The sequence below is a fragment of the Homo sapiens genome, chromosome 16 (assembly GCF_000001405.40).
Source record: "Homo sapiens chromosome 16, GRCh38.p14 Primary Assembly".
Classification (NCBI taxonomy): Eukaryota; Metazoa; Chordata; class Mammalia; order Primates; family Hominidae; genus Homo; species Homo sapiens.
The window spans coordinates 2539124-2561950 of record NC_000016.10 but is presented as its reverse complement, the minus strand read 5'-3'; the positions used below and the strand labels follow the sequence as shown (position 1 = coordinate 2561950).

The window sequence follows — 22827 nt, the reverse complement described above, 5'->3', positions numbered from 1 at the left end:
GACTGGTGTGGCTTCAGACGGCACCAACCACGCAAAGGATACACAGCTTCTCGTCGTCCTGAAATGTGAAGTAAAGCTTAACAAAGAAGGGGTGATCCAGGCGCGACATGACATCCCGCTCTCTGGTTACATAGGGGACCTTGTTCTCTTTTATGATATGTCGCTTCTCCAGAATTTTAACTTCAGGTGAGAGAGAAGTGAGTTACTATCAGAAACAACAAAAAACACTAAAGACATGACTCACAAAGGTAACTGGTACAAATTAAAGTCTTTCAAACATTGTACACAACAGCCTGGTGGTCTCTAAAGCCAACAGTGTCCTGTACCCTGAAATCAGCACAGAAACACCGGCCCTGCCACCCCAGCCGCCCTGCACGGAGCCGCTTGCCCTGCTCCCGGACGCACAGCTCCCTGCAGCCCATACTCACTCGCATATTCTCTGGAGGTTGCCAGTTCTCGAGCCAGGACAACCTGGTTGGGAAAGAAAAGGAGAAAAAGAAACACACAATGTAATAACCAGGACACTGGGCCTGACGAGTCCCTCTGCCCCACACGCACGCTTCCTGTCCCCACTGAAGGCTTGAGTCTACAGTGAAATATTTTGGGTCTTGTACTGACAAGTAGAGCTAAAAGCCAATGCTCGTGTTGATGTGTTCTAACAGCTAAGAGAAAACATATCCATCTCTCTGTTGTTTCCAGAAGCTTCTGGATCAGCTGCTAACAGCCCTAACGGTGCAACACAAGTACAAACTCAGGAACCTCTTCGACTGCCACGCCCTTCACCAACAGAAGGAAGACAGTGGCGCCACCACAAGTGGCAGGGCACAGGGGCTTCTGTGACAACAATATGTCCTTCTAGTATACATTCATTGCAAAGGCTGCCCTGAAGTTTCGTTTTTGGAAATAACTGTTATCATACATTTTGTATGATGTTGCTTGTGGGCACCATGAAGAGAGCCTGGCTGTAAAGGACAGAGGGAGCTAAACCAGCAATGCATGGCCCTGCGTGCCCACAAGAGGGAGCCACCTGCCCGGGATGCAGCAGGCCTCCTGCCCTGTCCTCTCAGCACCCCTGAGCCCTGCACTCAAACCCCACCTCCGAGACAGAGCACTCCAGCAGGGCAGGCATCCCAAACAGGGGAGAGACCCTCCACTCGGACTAGCCTGGGGCACACCCTGAGGCACCAGACTGGAGATTCCTGGTGGGCCCACGGTTTAGCCAGAGAGCATGAGGCAGCTGTGCCAGGGAGGCCCCACCACCACCAAGTGGGACACAAGTGTCTCCTAAGACACCCACAGGGGGACGGCCTGAGGAGCAGGGAGCAGAGGAAACCTGTCCCGTGACATTCCTGGGGGCTGGCAGGAAGACCTTCAGGAGGCCACAGGGCCAGGTCCACCTGGCCCCGGGCTGTGAGCCGCAATCGGGGCAGGACTCCTGATGGGACACGTCAGAAGAGATCCTGGAAAGCACCATGTGAGACGCCTTGTGGCACTCAAGAAGAATGAAGTTGGATTCTGGGGACTCTACATACTCAAGGTCTTCCCAGAGGAATACGCCACGCATGGATGGCTCTCAGCTGCCAGGGAGAAAGGGGAAGTGGGCCGGGCAGGGCTCCCCTCTCTAGCTCATGTGTTTCTGTGAGGTCACGTTTCTCCACAAGAGCACGTGCTAGCTTCATAAGTAGAAAAGAGGAAGAAAGAATTGTGAACGAGCACCGATATTTAGTGGAACCCTTTCTAAGGGGATACTGATGTGATCTTTCCGTTGTCTAAACTCAACACTTCACAAGCAGGTTTCCTACAAGAAGGAAGGATCCTCTTCCAGAGAATGGCGCGTGACGTGTCCCTCCCTGGAGGTTGTGACCGTCCTCAGGGGGCCTCCCGGCTCTCCGGTGCTGCAGCTGGCTCTTGCCCAGCCTCCTATCACTGTCCTTTCCCCCTCCCCTGGAAATCAACTTTTATGTGATCTCCATTTCAGGAAAGCTGAGAAAGAACTGAGGGTAACACATGTAATCTGAGACCCAGTACTGTGGATTCCAAACAGCCCCATGGAGGAGCCTCCGGCTCACCGTGCTCTCCCGGGCACCTCCCTGGTGCAGGTTCAGAAAGACACGGACCACAGCCCCTGGAGGGACAGTGCCTGCTCTCCACCCATCTCCAGAACCCAGGGAAACAGGCAATTTCACAGATGAGTCTTCCTTTTTCAGTCAAGATAAATGTTAAGGGCCATGTATGGTGGCACATGCCTGTGGTCCCAGCTACTCAGGAGGCTAAGGCAGGAGGATCGCTTAAGCCCAGGTGGTGAAGGCTGCAGTGAGCTATGATCACACCGCTGCACTCCAGCCTAGGTGACAGAGCAAGACTCTGTTTCTAAAAGGATAAATACATACATAATAAAATAAAGTTAAATTAAAAAGAGACATACAAGGAAGTAAAACTGAGGCCAAGCACAGTGGCTCACGCCTGTAATCCCAACACTTTGCAAGGCTGAGGAGAGAATCACTCGAGCCTAGGAGTTCAAGACCAGTCTGGGCAACAAAGTGAGACCCTGTCTCTACAAAAAATTTTACAATTAGCTGGGCACGGTGGTGCATTCCTGTAACTGCAGCTACTTGGGAGGCTGAGGTAAGAGGATCACTTGAGCCCAGGAAGTCGAGGCTGCAGTGAGCTATGATCATGCCACTGCACTCAAGCCTGGGTGACAGAGCAAGACTCTGTCTCAAAAAACAGGTAAAGCTGAGAAAAGAGGAGGCCTGTTCTTTCACTGGGTGGTTGTAAGCAGCCATGCAGAATGCCCAAGGTTTTCCAAAGAGTTTCTTCTTTCTGAAAGGATCTGAGTCCCCAAAACTTTGGGGACTAGTCTCATGGTTGAAGGCATTTTTCATGAGGGCATAATCCTTTTATAAAAAAATTATTTCATAAAACCTGCAATTTAAAAAATCTAAAGTGTAAGGGCAGCAAAAGTTAACATTAATTAAAACAATATGTTGGGAATATGGGTAAGCTATATTTCATGTTTTTCTTTGCATTGTGAAATATTTCCTATGTGTAAAAAAGAGAAAAAAGGAAAATAAACCTCACCTACGGTTTCTTCACAAAGGTCAGGCAAGAAAGAATTATTCAGGAACTCACCCAGGCCCTCCAGAGTGAGGTGCCCCCAGGGCTCCCTGGAATGGCCCTAGCACGCACACGGCGGCCACCTTGGCGACCACAGTGGCGGCACGGGACTCTGTCTCTTTAGAGGCCCAGATGGAGACAGTACACCCCGAGTTGCTCAGGCCTCCCCTGAACCTGTTACAACCTTCACTAAATCCACAACCACACACGGCTTCATGGGTCCCACGTCAGCAAAACGTCCCATGTCAGCTGCTTTCGACCTTCATTTCTTTGCTTTCAGAGGAAAAAACACCCCGAAGACAGGTAACAAGTGTGACTTGACAGTACTGCGACAATACTCCTGTTTGTGAAACTCGGAACACAAGACTCTGGAGGCTGTGTCTCCAGCAAATGTCCAGAGCGTACTGTTTTATGTATTCAAAAAAACAAAACAGAGAAATAAGAAGAGGTCAATAAATGTCCCCAAAAACCCTGGAGAGATACTAACTTTCAATCTAAGAAAAAGAACAGCTTCCCAGGGCCCTGCCAGTGAGACACAAGGACACAGAATGTAACTTGCTGATGCCAGGTTAAAATGAAATTAACTACATCAGAAAAAACCTCCGCAGACCATCAAGAGATGTGTCTAACGTTCTCATCTACAAAACCAGGTTAAATATTTAGCCACACTCATCACGTCATCTGCTTGGGGGGTACCCAGCCCCCAAAGACTCAAGTGGCCTTCACAACAGGTGACACCCCTCAAGGGGCCTGAGACCTCCTGCCTGGAAGGACACCAGCCTTGCTTGGAGTCTCCGGCAAGCCCCGAGGAAGGTGAGCCTCCCCAAGGAAATCACGTACGTTTGACACACAGCAGCAGCAAATACTCACCGTGGAAAAAGAGCCTTCCCCAAGGATTTTCCCAAACTTGAAGTCCTCAGGCCGCTTCTTCCGAGGCTGCGGCGGAGGCTGGGCATGCTGCAGGGAGCCGGCGCCGGGCCGAGGCTCGGCTGCAGTGCCGTCCATGGCGGGGCCCTGCCTGCTGCCACCAGGAATGCCAGGGGGCGTGCTGGACTCAGTCTGGGTCCTCACCATTGATGGGGATGGGCAGGAACATAACACCACGCTGGACTGGATGGGCACGGCGTCATACTAGGCGACAAAGAGGAAAAGGAAGTAAGGCTCAAGGCAGCTGCCTTGCTCTCAATGCACGGACTAAGGTTTAAGGACCTCATTTCAACGCTCAAAAACAAACCCCAAGCACAGGGCAGGCCAGCTGAGCCCCGCGGTCTGCTGTGAGCTGCCGGCCTCCTCTCCTGAGTCCTGCCCGTGCCATGGCTCCCCGCTAATCCACCAGGCAGCGCCTCGCCCTCCTCCTGTCCCTCGCGCTGCCTGAGCCTCCAGCCAACTCATCCCAAGGCCAAGGTAACCTGAGCAGAGATAGCACGGCACATCTTTAATTGTGGGGGGGATGGAGAGATAAGAGTGATGATCGCATGTGTTTACAATACACAGAGACGCCCAGTGCTGGCAAGACTATAATAAAGCGAGCGCACTCACACCACTGCGGCTGGCACCAAAAACCGGGATTGCAGTGGAAATGTTTTTGGAAAGCAGTTTGGCAACTGTCAACAAAGCGACTACAGAACAGTTGTCAATGAGACACAGAAATACGAAGGAGAGGAGGGAGGGCAGAAACCCAGTTAACAATGTAAGCGGGCACGGAGGGAAGATCAGCGTGCAAAGCTAGGTCGGCAAGACGTGCAAGGTGCACCCACAGCCATAACAATCCCTCCCCAGACCCCAACGTGTCCTCACGGTGGTGGCAGTGGCCCCCCGCACTACAGAAGAACAATGCGAGGCGAGCTCAGGCGCGCTGATGGTGGTTTCCGATACAACTCCCCACTCAAAGAACCCCGGAGAGCTCTTGATTCCATCTCTCAGTAGGGTCCTGAAGTCCATGCTGTCTGAAGACACAGGGTCTCCCCCTGCGTCTGTGCCAGGACAGAGGGACTGCCACCAGCCAAGCTGCAATCCTTTTAAACGCTAAAAACGGCCGGGCTTGGTGGCTCATGCCTGTAGTCCCAGCAGTTTGGGTGGATGAGGCGGGTGGATCCCCTGCGGTCGGGAGTTCAAGATCAGCCTGACCAACACGAATAAACCCCTTCTCTACTAAAAATACAAAATTAGGCCGGGCACAGTGGCTCAGGCCTGTAATCCCAGCACTTTGGGAGGCAGAGGCGGGAGGATCACCTGAGGTCAGGAGTTCGAGACCAGCCTGACCACATGGAGAAATCCCGTCTCTACTAAAAATACAAAAAAACTAGCCGGGCTTGTTGGCGCATGCCTGTAATGCCAGCTACTTGGGAGGCTGAGGCAGGAGAATCGCTTCAACCTGCAAGGCAGAGGTTGCAGTGAGCTGATAGCATGCCATTGCACTCCAGCCTAGGCAACAAGAGTGAAATTTCGTCTCAAAAAAAAAAAAAAAAAAAAAAAATAGGCCGGGCGCAGAGGCCAAAGTGGGTGGATCACTTCAGCCCATGAGTTCAAGACCAGCCTGGGCAAACACAGCAAAACCTCACCTCTACTAAAAATATAAAAATTAACCAGGTACGGTGGCATGTGCCTGTCGTCGCAGTTAATTGGGAGGCTGAGGTAGGAGGATTACCTAAGCCCGGGGAGGTCGAGGCTGCAATGAGCCAAGATCACATCACTGCACTCCAGCCTGGACGACAGAGGGAGATCCTGCCTCAAAAATAAAAAATAATAAGTAAATAAATAAAAAGAATATATTCACTATTTTGCTTATCAAAGTCTCTTAAAGGAGGTGACTTACCTACGCTATGGACCCAATTACTCAGCCAATAAGAGGACACGGTCCCTGCCCATAGAAAGCTGATGTCCAGCCTGACCTCAATACAAAACCATCCAGTTAAAGTGGTGGGGGTGGCTATGCAGAGACGGGCGGGTGCCGGGAGAGTCAAGGGCAGCCCCTTGGCTGGCCAGGGGCTCAGACAGACCAGCTGGGGAGATGCATCACTCGCCCAGGAAAACTGATGACAGCTTAGATGGCACTGCAAGAGCAGGGAGGATCACACTCATGTCCAGAAAGTGAAACATAAAACAGCTAAACATGTACCACACAGCTTTCATACAAAAATTTTATATACACAAATTTTGAAAAAATAGAGATGGGGTTTTGCTTGTTGTCCCGGCTGGTTTCGAACTCCTGAACTCAAGTGATCTGCCTGCCTCAGCTTCCCAAAGTGATGCAATTACAGGCATGTGCCACCATGCCTGGTGACTTTTTTTCTGTTTTGAGACGGGGTCTCACTCTGTCTCCCAGGCTGGAGTTCAGTGGCATGATCATAGCTCACTGCAGTCTCGACCTCCTAGGCTCAAGTGATCCTCCCACCTCAGCCTCCTGAGTAGTGGGACCACAGGTGTGCACCACCGTGTCCAGCTAATTTTTGTAGAGATGGGGTCTCATCATGCTGCCCAGGCTGGTCTCAAACTCCAGGGCTCGAGTGATCCGCCATCCTTGGCCTCCCAAAGTGCTGGATTACAGACCTGAGCCACCACACCAGGCTGCCCCACACATTGTAAAGTTTCGCTTCCCTCTAATGTCAGATTCCAAAGACAGCAGCCTTCATGAGTCAGAAAGAAACATCGGTCATTTTGAAATCAACATCCAACTGAAGTGTAGAAAGGCCTCTGGATTTTTGAAACGGCAACAACAGATGATGTAATACAAAGACGCCCCCACCCCACTGCTTTCCCACTGCATGCTTTACATGACATGGCACAGCTTCCACGCCAGCAGCTTCAATCATGTAAAGCGAATGCAGTCCCATCAAGACCACAGCATTGGCTGAGCAGCTACTCCATGCTGGGCACCGTCCTGGGCACTGGAAGTACAGCAGAGAACGAAACCAAGACCACACCCTCCAGAAGCCTGCATTCCAGCAGGACAGACAGACTTCCATACACAGAGCAGGAAAATGCACAGCGTGTCAGATGATGATGATTACTATGAGAAAAATAAAGCAGGCAAAGAGAACAGGACTATTTGGATGAGGGTGGTGCAAATTCAAATAATCAGACAGCCTTTGCTGGGAAGGTGATATCTGAGCAAAGATTCGAGAAGGTGGGGAGAGCCCCGGAGCCTTCCCCGCAGAGCAGAGGAGGCCCGGGAAGCTCTGGACTCATAGCGGTTCAGCACGGCCACGACACGGCCACTTCCAGACAGAGCCCCTGGCTGCTGGGTAGGGACCGCAGCACCTCAGAGAACCCTTTCTGGGGTCACTTCTGGCACCCTCTGCAAACCTCAAGGGGGAGCGTGAGGCTGGGGGCTGTCCATCAGGGTCCAGGCACCTCCTGAAGGAACCTCTCAAAGCCAGCCGATCACCGGCTCCAGACCCACGCTGTCAGACATCTCTGTGGCCACCAGACCACTGCCACTCTCACGGGTGTGATGACATGGGACCTGCCTACTGGTAGTCTTCTGCCTTCGTGGAATTCTGCAACTTCCTTCCTGCCTCGGCCACAGCATGTCAGCCAAGCACCTGTCAGGGTCCCTCCCTGGCAGGACGATGTTTAGAAGCTCAACACCTTGCTCCTGCCTCCTCTTCAGACCCATCAGAACTTGCTACCATGGGTGTGTTTTAATAAATAACTTCATTTCTGCAGCAAATAAATAAATAAATAAATGTAGTTGCAATATTGCCTTTAAAAGCACTTTTAAGCATCAATTGTGAAATAAAAAGCCCGAGCAAAAGCCCTCTTTGAGCGTGAAGTGTCTAAACGTTTATTTGTACTACTATTGTTGTAAAGGGTAGATTTTGTAGCATTTTGAGGTGGTGATTCAACTGCATTAACAGCATCCCGAGACCGCCTGCCACGATCTGGAGGAAACGCACGGCCAGGGCCCACGTGCAGGGTAGGGTCCTGCCAGGCTCCCAAAACGCCCCGTCCCAGCACTCAGTCCCATGGAGGCAGCACAGCCTCAGGGAGGCCAGCGACTCTGGGCCTGCGGGTGAGTCCTTCAGCCCCTGCACAGCCCAATCCATCTGCCACCCACTTGGTGACCCCAAATTGTAGTAAGTCAACACTTCCAGTTACTCAACAGCTTCTGAAATTTAAATCTCTGGAACAATTTACAGTAATAAGACCCTAGGTGCACCTGTCTACTATCCTTGTCCTCCCTAATGAAATGGGCTAGGCGTGGTGGCTCATGCCTGTAATCTCCCATTTTGGGAGGCCAAGGCAGGAGAACTGCTTGAGCCCAGGTGTTGGGAGACCAGCCTGGGTAACATGGCGAGACCTCACATCTAATAAAAAAAAAAAAAATCTGCTGGCTGTGGTGGCGCACACCTGTAATCCCAGCTGAAGTGGGAGAATTACTTGAGCCCAGGAGGCTGAGGCTGCAGTGAGCCGTGGTCATAGCACTGCACTCCAGCAGGGGTGACAGAACAAAACCTTGTCTCTTTTTAAAAAAGAAATTAAAAAAAAAAAAAAAAAGAGCCAGGCACGGTGGTGTGCACCTGTGGTTCCACTTCCAGCTGAGGTGGGAGGATCACTTGGGCTGGGAGTTCAAGGTTGTGGTGAACTATCACCGAGACCCTGTACTCCAGTCTGGGCAACAGAGCAAGGCTCTCTTTTCTTTTTTTTTCTTTTTTTTTTTTAAAAAAAAAAGCTCCTCACAAGAGAAGTCCACCAAAAACACCAGTGCCCACCTCACAGGTGTGGGGTCACCATGCAAGCCCCCCACTCCCTGGTTATGACCTGATCACTGGGCTTTGCTACACACACACAGGTGCACGTACCACCCCCAAGGGAAGGCGGGGAGCTGTGGCCTGCCTCGCCAGCAGCCTCGCACGCTGGCTCCCTGGGGCTCCTTCCTCATGACCAAGGCCTGCCCAGGTCAGTGCGGCTTCTTTCCCACCAGGAGCCTCCTGCCAACCACGTCTTTCCACACCCCCTTCTCAGTCCTGGCAATCAATCAATCTCCCCACTCAGGACAGGACCCCCTCTGTCCTCTTCTACCTTCTACTGCACTGTCGAGACAAGCTTCTGTGACTTCATCAGTGCTGAGAAATGTGAAAGACGTGCCACGGCACAGGTCTACTGAGAACAGGGAAAGGCCAATGTTCTCAACAGAATGTGGCTGGGAGAATAAGCACCATCAACAGGTTAGGTCCTTAAAGCTACCAGGTGCCATCCCCCAAGTCCCTGGAAGAGGGGCTCTCACATCCCCCCGCGCCACTCAATGACGAGTCACTGCCCCCTACTTATTCCCACAGGCAGATGGGACCACCAGGTGCTGGTCCTGTTGCTACTTTCCACAGCAGGCACTCAGGTTTCAGCCAGCCCCAGCCCGAGCCCCCAACCACACCTCTGATAGGAAAACAAACCCTGAGTTTTAAACAAATTGGAACTTGTAAAAATGTAGCCCATGGGTAAACTGGGCATTTTCTGAGAATTTTGTTTCATAAAATATGTATATAAGAACTTAGAGTTTCAATTTCTTTAACTTGTCTGGGTATGAAGTTCAGCAGTCTCCATCTCTTAGAAGTAGAAACCAGGCAGGGTGCAGTGGCTCATGCCTGTAATCCCAGCACTTCCAGAGGCCGAAGTGGGAGGATGGCTTGAGTCCAGGAGTCCAAGACCAGTCTGTGCAATATAGTGAAACCCCATCTCTACAAAAAAATATATAAAAAGTAGCCAGGCATAGTGGCGTGTGCCTATAGTCCTAGCTACCTGTGAGGCTGAGGCAGGAGAATCACCTGAGGCCAGGAGTTCAACACTAGCCTGGGCAACACAGTGAGACCCCATCTCTTTTTAAGAACCCCATCTTTTTTTAAAGAAAAAAAAAAGTAGATACTCTCTTTGCCGGGCACAGTGGCTCATGCCTATAATCCCAGCACTTTGGGAGGCCGAGGCAGGCGCATCATCTGAGATCAGGAGTTTGAGACCAGCCTGGCCAATAGTTGAAACCCCGTCTCTACTAAAGATACAAACATTAGCTGGGTGTGGTGGTGTGCAGCTATAATCCCAGCTACTCGGGAGGCTGAGGTAGGAGAATCGCTTGAACCCAGGAGGCGGAGGTTGCAGTGAGCAGAGATTGCGTCACCGCATTCCAGCCTGGGTAAAAAAAGCGAAACTCCGTCTAAAAACAAAAAAAAAAAAAAAAAAAGATGGAAATCAGGGCGCCTCCTATGGTCAAGATGCTGTCACGCAGATGAACACTTCAGCCAGCAAGAGAAAGGATCCCGAACAGAAAGCTAAGCTACCTTTAAATGGCAGTGTGTGCTCTGGAGCCTGGGAATGCAGTGCGACAGGTAGAGCCAGCGCCCGCACACTCTCACACGCGGCAAGCAGGAACTGCTCTCTCCAGGCCCCCGGACCAAAGTTGTGGGAGGCTGCCACAATCCACCTAGCTCATCTCCAAAGGGATCCTGCCCTCAGGTCAGCTGTGCTCACTGGCAAAGAACATTCTGGTAAAAACCTCCTCTCACCTCAGAAAACTCCACAAAGCTAGGCCCAGCACAGAAAACCAGGTGGAGGAAGGGGGTGTTAGGGAGGGACAGCCGCCACCTTCCCCTACCCCTCAGGCTGCCACCACCAAGGACAACTGTGGTGGACTAGCAAAACCAATGCCCCAGTTGAGTTCCAGATTTACAGCTTACCTGTGGGTAAGCCACCGCTCTCCGACCCATCAAGACTCTTCTCTAAAATGAGGCTAATGACATGGGCCCACCCACAAGGGCTGCGGGACCCACACCAGACAGGAGTGTGAAGCACTCCGTGGAATCTGGTGGGCAGCTCACAGGGCAGGCCCTATGGCGGAGGGGATTCTCGGTGTGCTCGTACCAGCAACCCGTGCCCGAAGGCCCTGCCCACGCTGGTCCTTGGCCACGGGGAGCTGGCCCACAGCAGGCAAGTGGTCACCAACGCTCTCCCACGGTGCAACTCAGCAAAACGCAGCTCGCCCCCACCAGCGTGGAGCCCTGGCAACAGGTGAGGGCCGGAGGAAAGCTGTTTCTATTTCTCCACGAAGGGAGGGAGGAGCAGCTCCAAGGACAGCTACTCAATCTGTCCTCCCACAGCCATCTCCACTGGCCTCCCAAGGAGCCTCTCACTTACCCAGGGCAGACAGAGGGCAACGAGGCGCGGACTGCCAACTGCCTCAAGTCTGGTCCTCAGGCTCAACCGGGCTGCCAGCCTCAGGAAGCGCCAGGTCTCAATTTCACTAACCCACATCTTCAACATTAACGTTGTATATTTGTCACACAAACAGATGATGAAACACCAAAGTACAAGATTTCTCTGCAAGGAGGCTTTGTTCCCTTCCTGCACTTTGGAACTTCCTACAGGTGTACTTTAAACACCACTGATCAACATGAAAACCAGGATGCCAGTTACCTCTGAACGGGAGGGGCCAGAAACTACAATCTGGAGGGCCACTCGAGCCTTCTGGTAAAATCCTGTTTTTCAAGTAGGGTGGTGGGCACGTGTGAGTTTATTTTCATTCTTTAAACTCTCCATATATCTTCTGTGTGCCCCTTATAGGTATAACTTTAAATGCTGTTGTTTAAAATAAATAAAATGCCATTTTTCTCTACTAAAAAAAAAAATTTATTAAGTGCTTGCTGTTTGCCACACATTCTTCTGAGCATTTTACATGTATTATCGTGGTTAGTCCTCAAAACAACTCTGGGGGTGGGTACCATCGGCATCCTTTCTACAGATGGGGACACTGAGTATACAGCAGGCTTTTGTCCAGTCAAACACTCCACAGTGAGGTCACACGCAATTCTGAAGCAGAATCCAACTACAAGGCCCACACTCCCAGCCCTCCCATGAGTAGGGGGTCGCCCATCTGAGGCTGATGTGTGTTCACCAGGGAACCAGGAGGGGCCGGAGGAAAACTGCAGCACCTAATCCTCAGTGCCTCGCCACACCGCAGGCCACACCCTCTGACCTGCCCATTCCCCTACATGGCATCTAGGCGACACAGTCAGAAATTCAGACTAAGATTTATATTATTAAAATATTCATTAAGAAGTTACTCCTAGGCCAGTTGCGGTGGCTCACGCCTGTGATCCCAGCACTTTGGGAGGATCACCTGAGGTCAGGAATTGGAGACCAGCCTGACCAACATGGAGAAACCCTGTCTCTACTAAAAACGCAAAATAAGCCAGGTGTGGGGGCGCATGCCTGTAGTCTCAGCTACTTGGGAGGCTGAGGCAGGAGTACCACTTGAACCTGGGAGGCAGAGGTTGCAGTGAGCTGAGATCGCGCCACTGCACTCCAGCCTTGGAAACAGAGCGAGACTCCGTCTCAAAAAAAAAAAAAGAAAAGAAAAAGAAAAAGAAAAAAAAAGACAGGAGCAGCAGGCAGAAGGGGAGCAGACTCATCTCAAACCTGCCTCACATCCCCTGGAGGGATGCGGCCCCACCCGACTGGAAACCAGCCCTGTCAGTCTGCCTTGCTGGGGATGGCTCTGTCCCTGCAGAGTGTCCCAGGAGCATGCATGCCTGCAGAAAGCAGGTGCCTGGACTCCATGCCAGCTCTGACCCAAAAGTCAGAAGGCCTCCAGGTCCCAAGTGTCTTCATCTAGAAACTGGAAGGATCCAACTGGGTGAGCAAGAAGGTCCCTTCTGAAATTAAATTACCACCAGTGTCCTACAATCTATGACACAAAACCCCCAAGTAGCAGAGAGCAGAGCAGGCCTATGTGCTTCCTTTTGGTAAAGTAAAACTAATTTTGCCAGACACAGTGGCACGTACCTGTAGCCCCAGCTACTCAGGAGGCTGAGGTGGGGGGGTCGCTTGAGCCCAGGAGTTGGAGACTGCAGTGAGCTATGATCCCACCACTGCACTCCAGCCTGGATGACAGAGCGAGAGCTCATCTCTAAAGCAAACAATAATAATTTTTTAAAAGTTTTGTAAGTAATTTTGTTGAACGTCACCAGCGATGAGTCACGTGGATGTCCTGTACCCCAATACGACGCACTAAGGGCACCTCATCTCTGTGGGATTCTTCCTAACCCCACAACCTGTCCAACCACAAGACATCAAACAAACCCAAATGAAGGCACATTCTGCAAAATACCTGACCAGGACTCCTCAAAAGTACCAAGCTGATGACAAACAAGGAAGGACGGCAGCTATCCTACACCAGAGGGGGCGAATGAGACAGGACAACGCGATGCGATGTGGCACCGGGGCGGGGTCCTGGGACAGCAAGGACATCAGGAGGAAAACTGATAAAATCCAAAACAGGCCTGTCGCTCGGTGAGTAGTGTGGTGCCAGCGCGAACACCTCAGTTTCGACAGAGTGACAGAGGTATCACGGTCATGTCATGGCATTAGGGGAAGCTGGCTGGGGGAAATTATGGAAATTCTGTGTCGTCTGCAATTTTTCTACATACCTAAAAGTATTCCAAAATAGTTGATGTTTTCAATAATTTTTGTTAGGAGGCTACTTTGAGAGCTTCAGGTAAACTCAGGATCTGAAAACATCCTGTGTCATTCAAAACCTGACCCTGACTCAACGCTGAACGTTAACTTTTAAAATGTAGGGCTACTGAAGGGAAATAATATACCTGGAAGGAAAAAAACCCTAACAGAACAAGTTTAGTATGAATTTCTTACTACCACCAACTTCTTTGGCATGTTTTGTCCAAAAGGTCTCAGAGTTTGGATGCAAACCCAGCCTCCCAGCAGAAGCCAGCTGTATCAGGCGAGTGCAGGCCGCCTAGAGGTCCTCCAGGCCCACACGAAGAGCGCGTCCCACTCAGAACCTCCCCCACTGGAGGCCGATTCCCTGCTCAGGCAACCCAGACCTCCCCGAGTCGCCACCCCAGCCAGGAGAGCTCCTCCCCTGCTAGTCCACGTTGGGGCCCAGACTCTGCCCGGCTCTCTGAAGCAGCCCCACAAAGGCCGGTCACCCTCTCCTGCTCAGACACTAACTACCCTCCCTCTATGGGCACCATCTGCAACGGCCGTGCTATTGACTGTTTCCCTTCTGCCCCTGGGGCTCAGAGAGGGACAGGAGCATCAGGTGGACCGTCCCCCTTCAAGCTGTAGAAGCCATCTTTTTCACACAACATTTCCTCAGGCCAGGAGCATGGGGCCCGTTCTGTTCATAACCACTTTTCCTAAACCAACCGGGGCCGTCCTCACCCTTTCTGCCCCAGGCACAAAGCTCAGCGCCAGCAGCATCTGCACAGGAGAGCTTGCTAAGATTTTTTTTTAAGCATCATTTTGAGCTTCCGACTTTTTACGGAATGAGAACGCAATGCGTTCACCAAGAAAATCTATATTCAGATGCACATTTTAAACTAGATATCTGATAATAACCAGGTACGTACATACAATCAAAAGACTGTAATTCTGACCGATGGAAAAAAGCCATGAAAGACAAATGCCAGCCTGCAGGAAGAACATGTGAGTTACCCATGGAAAAGCAGCCGGAAGCGCTCCGAGCATCTGAGCGTCTGAGCCCGTGCTCTGAAGGAGCTGTGTACTCCCTCAGCCTGGCGTCCAGAGTCAGGCCCAACTGGGAGAGAGAAACGCAGACGAACCTAGCGCTCGCCCTCAGGAAGGACCCCCTGATGAGGTCCACATGGGGGGAAATGAGCAGCCGTCAGCCTTCCTAGCTCGTAAGTTGGGAGCCTGCTCACTAACCTGCCTCCCCAGGGTCTGGCTGCTGCGGCTCTCCAGATCAAACCTTCCCAAGAACAGGGCTGAGCAAAGCCAGCGCTCCATTCTTCCAAAGACTGATCTGTCCCCATCCTTTCCCACAGGGGAAGTCCAAGCAGTGCTGTGTGCCAGCCAGCACTGGCACACGGTGGGTCTGAAGGTCAATTAGCCCCGCCCCCACCGAGGTCGGAGAGCTCTCACTCACTGAGCCCTGGGCCTGGGTGCACAGCGGGGACTCTGAGACAGGTGGGCTGCTGAGATCCTCACTGCTGGGCTCCCCAAGGACCATCAGTCACACAACCATCCTGCGGATATAGCTGCAGCTCTACAGGTGGCTGCACCCACCCACAGAGCACACGTCCCTTTTGCCGCCACAGGACACCTTAGAAGCTACAGCAAAGTCAAGGCCTAGGAAAAGCCTCATGGCACCTTGCCCAAGCAGGAAAGAGACCAGGAGAGTAGGGCCCCGCTGTCAGGAAGGAAAAGCAGCTTAAGGTTAGAAGGGCCACTAAGGAAGGCCGGGCACGGTGGTTCACACCTGTAATCCCAGCACTTTGGGAGGCCAAGGCAGATGGCTTGAGGTCAGGAGTTCAAGACCAGCCTGGCCAACATGGTGAAACCCCATCTCTACTAAAAATACACAAATTAGCCCAGCATGGTGGCAGGAGCCTGTAATCCCAGCTACTCATGAGGCTGAGGCAGGAGAATCGCTTGAACCGGGGAGGTGGAGATTGCAGTGAGCCGAGATCGCGCCACTGCACTCCAGACTGGGCGACAGAGCGAGACTCTGTCTCAAAGCACTTTGGGAGGCTGAGGTGGGTAGATCACGAGGTCAGGAGTTCAAGATTAGCCTAACCAAGATGGTGAAACCCCGTCTCTACTAAAAACACAAAAATTAGCCGGGCGCAGTGGTAGGCACTTGTAATCACAGCTACTCAGGAGGCTGAGGCAGGAGAATCGCTTGAACCCGGGTGGCAGAGGTTGCAGTGAGCCGAGATCGCGCCACTGCACTCCAGCCTGGGTGACAGAGTGAGACTCCATCTTGAAAAAAAAAGTTACCTTTAGCTCATCATCTCCTAAGCAGTATTCTTGCCATAAATACTTAGCCTGAACCTAATCTAACAAGGAAACAATGAGACAAATCCAGATTGTGAATCCTGTATTTATATAAAATACGAGACAACTACCCTCATATTTTAAGAAATGCTGGCCAGGTTGCTGTAGCTCATGCCTGTATTCCCAGCATTTTGGGAGGAGCAGGTGGTAGGATCACTTTAACCCAGTCCAAGACCAGCCTGGGCAACAAAGCGAGACCCCATCTGTACAAAAAATTTTAAAAATTATAATTAGCCAGTGCTGGGCATGGTGGCTTACGCCTGTAATCTCACGCTTTGGGAGGCCAAGGCGGGTGAATCATGACATTAGGAGTTCGCGACCAGCCTAGCCAAGATGGTAAAACGCCGTCTCTACTGAAAATATAAAAATTAGCCGAGTGTGGCGGTGGGCGCCTGTAATCCTAGCTACTCATGAAGCTGAAGCAGGAGAATTGCTTGAACCCAGGAGGCGGAGGTTACAGTGAGCCGACATCACACCACTGCACTCCAGCCTGGGGAACAGAGCCAGACTCCGTCTCAAACAAAAAAAATTAGCCAGGTGTGGTGGCACAGGCCTATAGTCCCAGCTACTCAGGAGGCTAAGGCTGGAGGATGGCTTGAGCCCAAGGGAGTTCAAGGCTGCAGTGAGCTATGATCATGCCACTGCATTCTAGTTTGGGCAACAGAGCAAAACTCTGTCTCTAAAAAAAAAAAAGAGAGAGAAAGAAAGAAGAACAAGAAAGAGCTTTGAGGAGGACAGGTGACCACTGAGGAAGGCTGCACGTCACCTTTGCATTAGAAAATGCCACGTTACAATAAAATTCCACCTCTACTAAAAATGCAAAAATTAGCCACGACTGGTGGTACACACCTGTAAGTCCCAGCTACTTGGGAGGCAGAGGCAGGAGAATCACTTGAACCCAGAAGGCGGAGGTTGCAGTGAGCCAAGATCGCACTACTGCACTCCAGCCTGGGCAACAGCACGAGATTCCATCTCAAAAAAAAAAAAAAAATGCAATGTTAATGCTATCTCGGATGTGATGATGAAGAGGTTGTACAGGTGACAGCTTCTGAGCTCAGAAGGCATCTGGAGAAGGATTCTGGGGTGAAATGCTATCATGTGTGTGACTTACTTTCAAATAATAAAAATAATAGAAAAAAATTTTGGGCCAGGTGTGGTGGCTCATGCCTGTAAATCCCAGCACTTTGGGAGGCCGAGGTGGGCGGATCACGAGGTCAGGAGATCAATTCCATCCTAGCTAACAGGGTGAAACCCCGTCTCTACTAAAAATACAAAAAAATTAGCCGGGCATGGTGGCAGGCGCCTGTGGTCCCAGCTACTTGGGAGGCTGAGGCAGGAGAATGGTGTGAACCCAGGAGGCGGAGCTTGCAGTGAGCCGAGATCGCGCCACTGCACTCCAACTTGGGCGACAGAGCGAGACTCCGTCTCAAAAAAAAAAATTTGGGGGAGGTGAGGGGGTAATGTATACAAGCAAATATGGAAAAGGTTAACAACTGGTAGAATCCAGGTGAAAAGGCTAGGGATATTCATTGTACTATGCTTTCAACTATTCTTCGGTTTTGAAATTTTTCAGAACAAAAATTAGTGGAGAAAGGTTCATCCTCAGTCCAGTAAGTTCCAGGAGACAGAGCCAGACCTACCTTATTCACCACTGTTTCTCCACTGCTAGCTCAATGTGTGGTCCTCATCCCACTGGCCCAGGAAACCACTGCTAATATTTCTGTGGGAACCTCCCTCCAAGCTTTTCCCTGGGCCTGAGGAAAGTTATACTGGGCATGCTGCTTTGCAACCAGGTCTCTTCAGGTAGAAACACTTTGTAACCACCTATCAGGAGAGTACATACAGTCTGCCATCCCCAACCATAGGTTGACTCCACATGCATGGATTCAACCAACAGTGGATAGAAAATATTAGAAAAACAAGAAATTGCATCTGTACTGAACATGCACAGACTTTTTTTTATTGTCATGATTCCCTAAAGAATATAGTAAAGCAGGCCGGGCACGGTGGCTCACGCCTGTAATCCCACCACTTTGGGGGGCCGAGGTGGGCGGATCACCTGAGGTCAGGAGCTCGAGACCAGCCTGGCCAACATGGCAAAACCCGGTCTCTACTAAAATTACAAAAAAAAAAAAAAAAAATTAGCCGGGTGCGGTGGCACGTGCCTGTAATCCCAGCTACTCAGGAGGCTGAAGTAGGAGAATTGCTTCAACCTGAAAGACGGAGGTTGCGGTGAGCCGAGATCGTGCCACTGCACTCCAGCCTGGGCGACAGAGCAAGATTCTGTCTCAAAAACAAAAAACAAATAACAAAAAACCCAGCAGACTGGTCAGAAAAGACTGTACAGCCACAGGGGTTTCCATGTAGGGAAATTTCTCTAGGCAAGGAGGAAAAGCCTGAAGAAGACAAGAACTGCTGAGAACAGGGCAGCAGGGAACATCCTGGACCCACCTGGGCCGCACAGGCTGGAAAGAGAGGCCGTGGCCGGGCATCCGAGCCTGGGCCCCTCACAGAGGAGGAACAAAGTGACAGGCCAGGAGAGGAGGGGAAGATGCAGGAGTGCTGGCATCTGGGGACCAGCCAGCAAGTCCTTGGAGCCCTCCCTCACCAGAAAAGGGGAAGCAGGAAGGACAGCGGCAATGGCCAGAGTGAGGAGAATGCAGCGTCCTGCAGCTCCATGGAGTGAGCGCCTCCTTCACGGAGCAGCCCTGGCCGCCCTGCAACTGAGGCCGCGGCACCGAGGGTCCCGCCAATGCAGCAAGGGGCGAGAGACACCACACCTAAGACTCAGGAGCAAGGTCCTGTCCCCGCTCCCAACCCCGGGGCTCCTGGAATCACCGAGGCAGAACTGAAAAGTGAGTGCGGGCCCCTTTCCCACATGTTCCACTGCAAAGGTCAACACACGCCAGGCGCATTTCAGTGAGGCTTCAAGTCTTCCCTGCAAATCTCATCAGCCTTTTCTGATGGCATTCAATGCACAGCGGTCACTTTCAGCTACAACCCCTTCCTACTGCAGTCGAATTAATTCCAAAAGGGAAAAAACAGGTTAAAGAATGGGACTTTAACGATGAATTTATTGCAAAAAATAAGCCCATAGCCAGAAGAATCCTGACTGGCATCCTGCTGAGACACACAGCCTCTCCTCAGCCCTCTCCAGCACGGGGAGAGGGCACTGTCACCAGCTCCGCAAACACGCAGGAGACGGGGACCTCCAGAACTAACGTCCTTGGTCTCCAGACCTACCTTCAAACCTCATCTTTAAATATTTCGAATCCCTGCGTGCTACAAGCTGACTTGAAACACAGATTGGGCCGGTCCCAGCACGGTGGCTGGTAGAGAGGGCATCTGATCTTGTCTGTGGAATGACGGAAGTCACTGGACTGTCCAGGAACTACATGCCCACCTTCATCAGATGGAAACCACACACTTGTTTATTCTGCAGGGGGCCGTGTGCTCAACAGTGAGCTGCTAATGTCAGGCTTGTCCATCTTTTTCATACACAGGCTCTACAGTACTGTCAGTTCCCAATTCTGTGGGTCCCTGTATAATCCAACTCTTTAAACAGAAACCAGGCTGGGTGCGGCGGCTCATGCCTGTAATCCCAGCACTTTGGGAGGCCGAGGCGGGAGGATCCCTTGAGACCAGAAGTTTGAGTAGCCTGGGCAACATAGTGAGACCTCATCTCAATAAATAAATTAAATAAATAAATAATGTAGGTGGTGCGCACCTGTAATCCCAGCTACTTGGGAGCCTGAGGCACGAGAATCACTTGAACCCATGAGGCGGAGGTTGCAGTGAGCCAAAATCATGCCACTGTACTCCAGCCTGCGTGACAGAACGAGACTGTCTCGAAAAAATAAATAAATAAACAAACAGAAACCAGAATCAGGTGCTCTTATAAGGGATGTGTAGCCCAGAAACTCAATCTTAACACATTCTAAATGACCTGGAATTTCTTGGAGCAAAAATTCCAGTTTAAATATCAGGAAAATTGTCTAGACTAAGAGAATGGAAACGGACTTTGTGCAACCAACATCAGGTACAGAAAAGAGACCCCAACAATCATCATGAACCCAAACAGGCCTTTCTCCTCACTAAGAGAAGAGAACACACACAACCCATGCCTTGTTACTCTTTGAGAAGATGTGCCCTGCCTGTGATCTAGCAGCTAGAGACGGAACATACAACCTGTTCTCAATATTCAAATAATTTTTTAAAGGACATGGTATCACACTGAGCAAGTGAATAATGCAATTCTGCTGTAGAAGAATGCACGGCTGAAAAGACCTGAGCAACTCATGTCCAAAACTTGCAGTTTCCACAGCAGCACTTCCTCCCAGCACACTGCCCTTTGAACCTGCTTTCTAAACAACTGTGCTGGGCAGCCCAGTGGCCACATGTCATCGCACAGCAGGTGTGGAGCAGCATAGAGCACCCTGGCCCTCGCACCTGCTTGGGGGACTGTTTCTGCACCCAGGGCTTCTCTGCAGCCACAACCTGCCCCACACAGAACTGCAGCACCACGTGGCATCCTGTCCATTTCCTCAGAAGGGGAAAGTGCCACGCCAGTGCCCACTCTCTTCCAAACACATCCTCTCAGAAGGGACTGGCCACGCTTGCCCCCTCATTTCTGCAGCGCTTCCCAGTTCATCACCTGCTTGCCAGACTCCGTCTCCCACCGGTGTCAATCAGCTGCCCTGGAGCATCTAAACCCTGGGTCAGGCGGCTCAGGGGATGAGTGCATAGACTGAAAAAGGAACACTCCCTGTTTCTCCCCAAAACTGTGCTGAAGGCAGTCTAGAGGGCCAAGACCTGTCAAGAAGAGCTGCCCAAGGCCTCTTTTCAGGCCCCACATCTCTGCAGGCTGCTGCTGGATCCTTCTCATAAGAACACATCTCAGAAAAGCAGAACAAACCACTTCCCTCTTACCACTGGGAGCTCACCTTGCCAGCTCTAGACTCAGCTTGGACTGGCTGTCAGGGCAACGTTGCGTACAGGAATACATCACACTATGCACCAGACCAGCCACATAAGGAGGAACTCCCCAAAAGGAGAGAGAAAATCGAAAGCCACTTCTCTCCATGCTCCCTGCTTCTCCCCTCACCTTCCCCTAAGGATGCAGCCACCTTTGCAAAAGACAGAACCACCCTAGGGAGGGCAGGAGGCCACTCTGCCTAGTCCCCCAATTCTACCTTCAGCAAAATCATTACATGTTTCTTTGTTCCAAAGGGAGGATTTCAAGCCTCACCCATTCAGAGTATCGGCCCTCAAACAAGGCCGAATCACAGCCTCTTCCCAAACAGCTGCTTTCTGACAGCAGGAGGCTGAAACAGGCCCCGGGGTCACAGAGTTCAGCCATCTGCCAAAGAAATATGTACAGTTCTTCCATATGAAGACACCCCTCCTACCTCCAGCACGGCATGGTCAAGACATTCAGGCCCAATCCCTGGGAAGACATCCTGGGCAGTGGCACTGAAGATTTCCTTACAGAGTGCTGGGCTGAGCTGCCCGGCAGACCCTCCCTCAGGGGCTCCGAACGTGAGGGGCAGGGTGACACTGGAGTCTCTACCACTTATGAGGCAGGTACCTAACGCCTCTGCAGCTCAGCTTCTGCACCCGTAAAATGGGAACAACACCTACCTCGCAATGAGGTGTGAAAGTACCTAGGGAAGCGCCTGTCTTGAGTAGTCAGATCAAGAAATGGTACTCACTGCCTCTGGCCCACTTAGCATCAGACTGGGCCAGGCCACTGTCTGCCTTCACGCTCGCACTGCTCCCCCTGTTGGCTGTCCACGCGGACACACAAGGGAAAGTTCACTGGGAAGGGGGCTTCTCACACAGGGCCTACAGGGCCACCCTAAAGTCCAGATGCAAACCCACTTGAACCCTGAAGATCTATCCATCCTCAGGTGAAAATCCAGGATCAGGGCTGCCTCTACCATTACAGACAGGAAACACGGCATGTTCTCACATACGTACACATGGGGGAATCCAGCTGACAGATGCAAAACGCTCGTTCGTGACACTTCCTCATGTGGAAATCCATCTTGCATTCTATCATTCTTGCTCACTGGATTCCAGTGTTTTTGTGCAAAAAAGCCATCTCATGCGAAGAAAACTGCAGATATGAAATGTCCATCATGTGGAACTGCCAAGGCCATGAGAAAATTTGCTCTTTCCTCTTCCCGTGGATGACACCAAATACACACCTTGCATTGGAACAGCGTTACTGGGTGCGAGTTAACCTCACAAATTTCGCCATGACTGTCACTGGGTGCAGGTTAACCTCACAAACTTCGACATAACTCTCGGCCCCAGCCTCCACTGAGCCTGGCCAATCCGCCTAATTCATGTTTTTATGTTACCCGGGCCACTCTGGTGTACAGCCACACATGTCGAAATAGCGAAAGGCATCCCTTCAACATTTTTCTCAGCTGAACCTTCTTCCTTAACACGCATCTCTACAAAGTCCACGAGTGAGCTGCAGAAAGTTCAAGAGCCTCCTGACGTAGTTACAAAATTCAGCGTCACTCTGCCTTTTTCTCAGAAGAGGGCCCATACCTTTCCTCAGGTTCTCAAACAGACTCACAACCCCCCACTCCCCGCCCCACAAAAAAAAAGATCAAGAACGCCTATCAAAAAGCCACATCTGCCGGGCGTGGTGGCTCACGCCTGTAATCCTAGCACTTTGGGAGGACGAGGCGGGCAGATCACTTGAGGTCAGGAGTTCCAGACCAGCCTGGCCAACATGGCGAAACACCTTCTCTACTAAAAATACAAAAATTAGCCGGGCATGGTGGCATACGCCTGTAATCCCAGCTACTCAGGAGGCTGTGGCAGGAGAATCGCTTGAACCCGGGAGATGGAGGTTGCAGTGAGCTGAGATCGCATCACTGCACTCCAGCC

General features: G+C 51.4%; 1 protein-coding gene across 11 annotated transcripts in view, besides 4 other annotated features; it reads right to left on the bottom strand.

The window, feature by feature from the left end:
• The window catches only part of PDPK1 (3-phosphoinositide dependent protein kinase 1), a 65168-nt gene that overhangs the window by 41238 nt on the left and 1103 nt on the right, over window positions 1-22827 (bottom strand). For 3 of the 11 annotated variants that reach the window (XM_024450296.2, NM_002613.5, NM_001261816.2), the window contains 3 exons: window positions 3988-4248; window positions 429-471; window positions 43-180 (listed from right to left, as the gene is read on the bottom strand). In XM_024450296.2, coding sequence (XP_024306064.1) covers window positions 43-180; window positions 429-471; window positions 3988-4191 — 385 coding nt within the window. In that variant the 5' untranslated portion in view covers window positions 4192-4248. The other 8 variants (XM_047434200.1, XM_047434199.1, XM_047434202.1 and 5 more) reach the window with 8 other exon arrangements.
• Window positions 774-1273: an enhancer, noted in NCBI's record as "H3K4me1 hESC enhancer chr16:2610679-2611178 (GRCh37/hg19 assembly coordinates)". NCBI's record gives its function as "activates a minimal SCP1, AML or CMV promoter by ChIP-STARR-seq in naive H9 embryonic stem cells {active_cell/tissue: H9 hESC(naive)}" and the evidence as "EXISTENCE:reporter gene assay evidence [ECO:0000049][PMID:30033119]".
• Window positions 1274-1775: an enhancer, noted in NCBI's record as "H3K4me1 hESC enhancer chr16:2610177-2610678 (GRCh37/hg19 assembly coordinates)". NCBI's record gives its function as "activates a minimal SCP1, AML or CMV promoter by ChIP-STARR-seq in naive H9 embryonic stem cells {active_cell/tissue: H9 hESC(naive)}" and the evidence as "EXISTENCE:reporter gene assay evidence [ECO:0000049][PMID:30033119]".
• Window positions 4108-4609: an enhancer, noted in NCBI's record as "H3K4me1 hESC enhancer chr16:2607343-2607844 (GRCh37/hg19 assembly coordinates)". NCBI's record gives its function as "activates a minimal SCP1, AML or CMV promoter by ChIP-STARR-seq in primed H9 embryonic stem cells {active_cell/tissue: H9 hESC(primed)}" and the evidence as "EXISTENCE:reporter gene assay evidence [ECO:0000049][PMID:30033119]".
• Window positions 21682-21771: an enhancer, noted in NCBI's record as "active region_10274". NCBI's record gives its function as "activates an Ori minimal core promoter by ATAC-STARR-seq in GM12878 lymphoblastoid cells {active_cell/tissue: GM12878}" and the evidence as "EXISTENCE:reporter gene assay evidence [ECO:0000049][PMID:35858748]".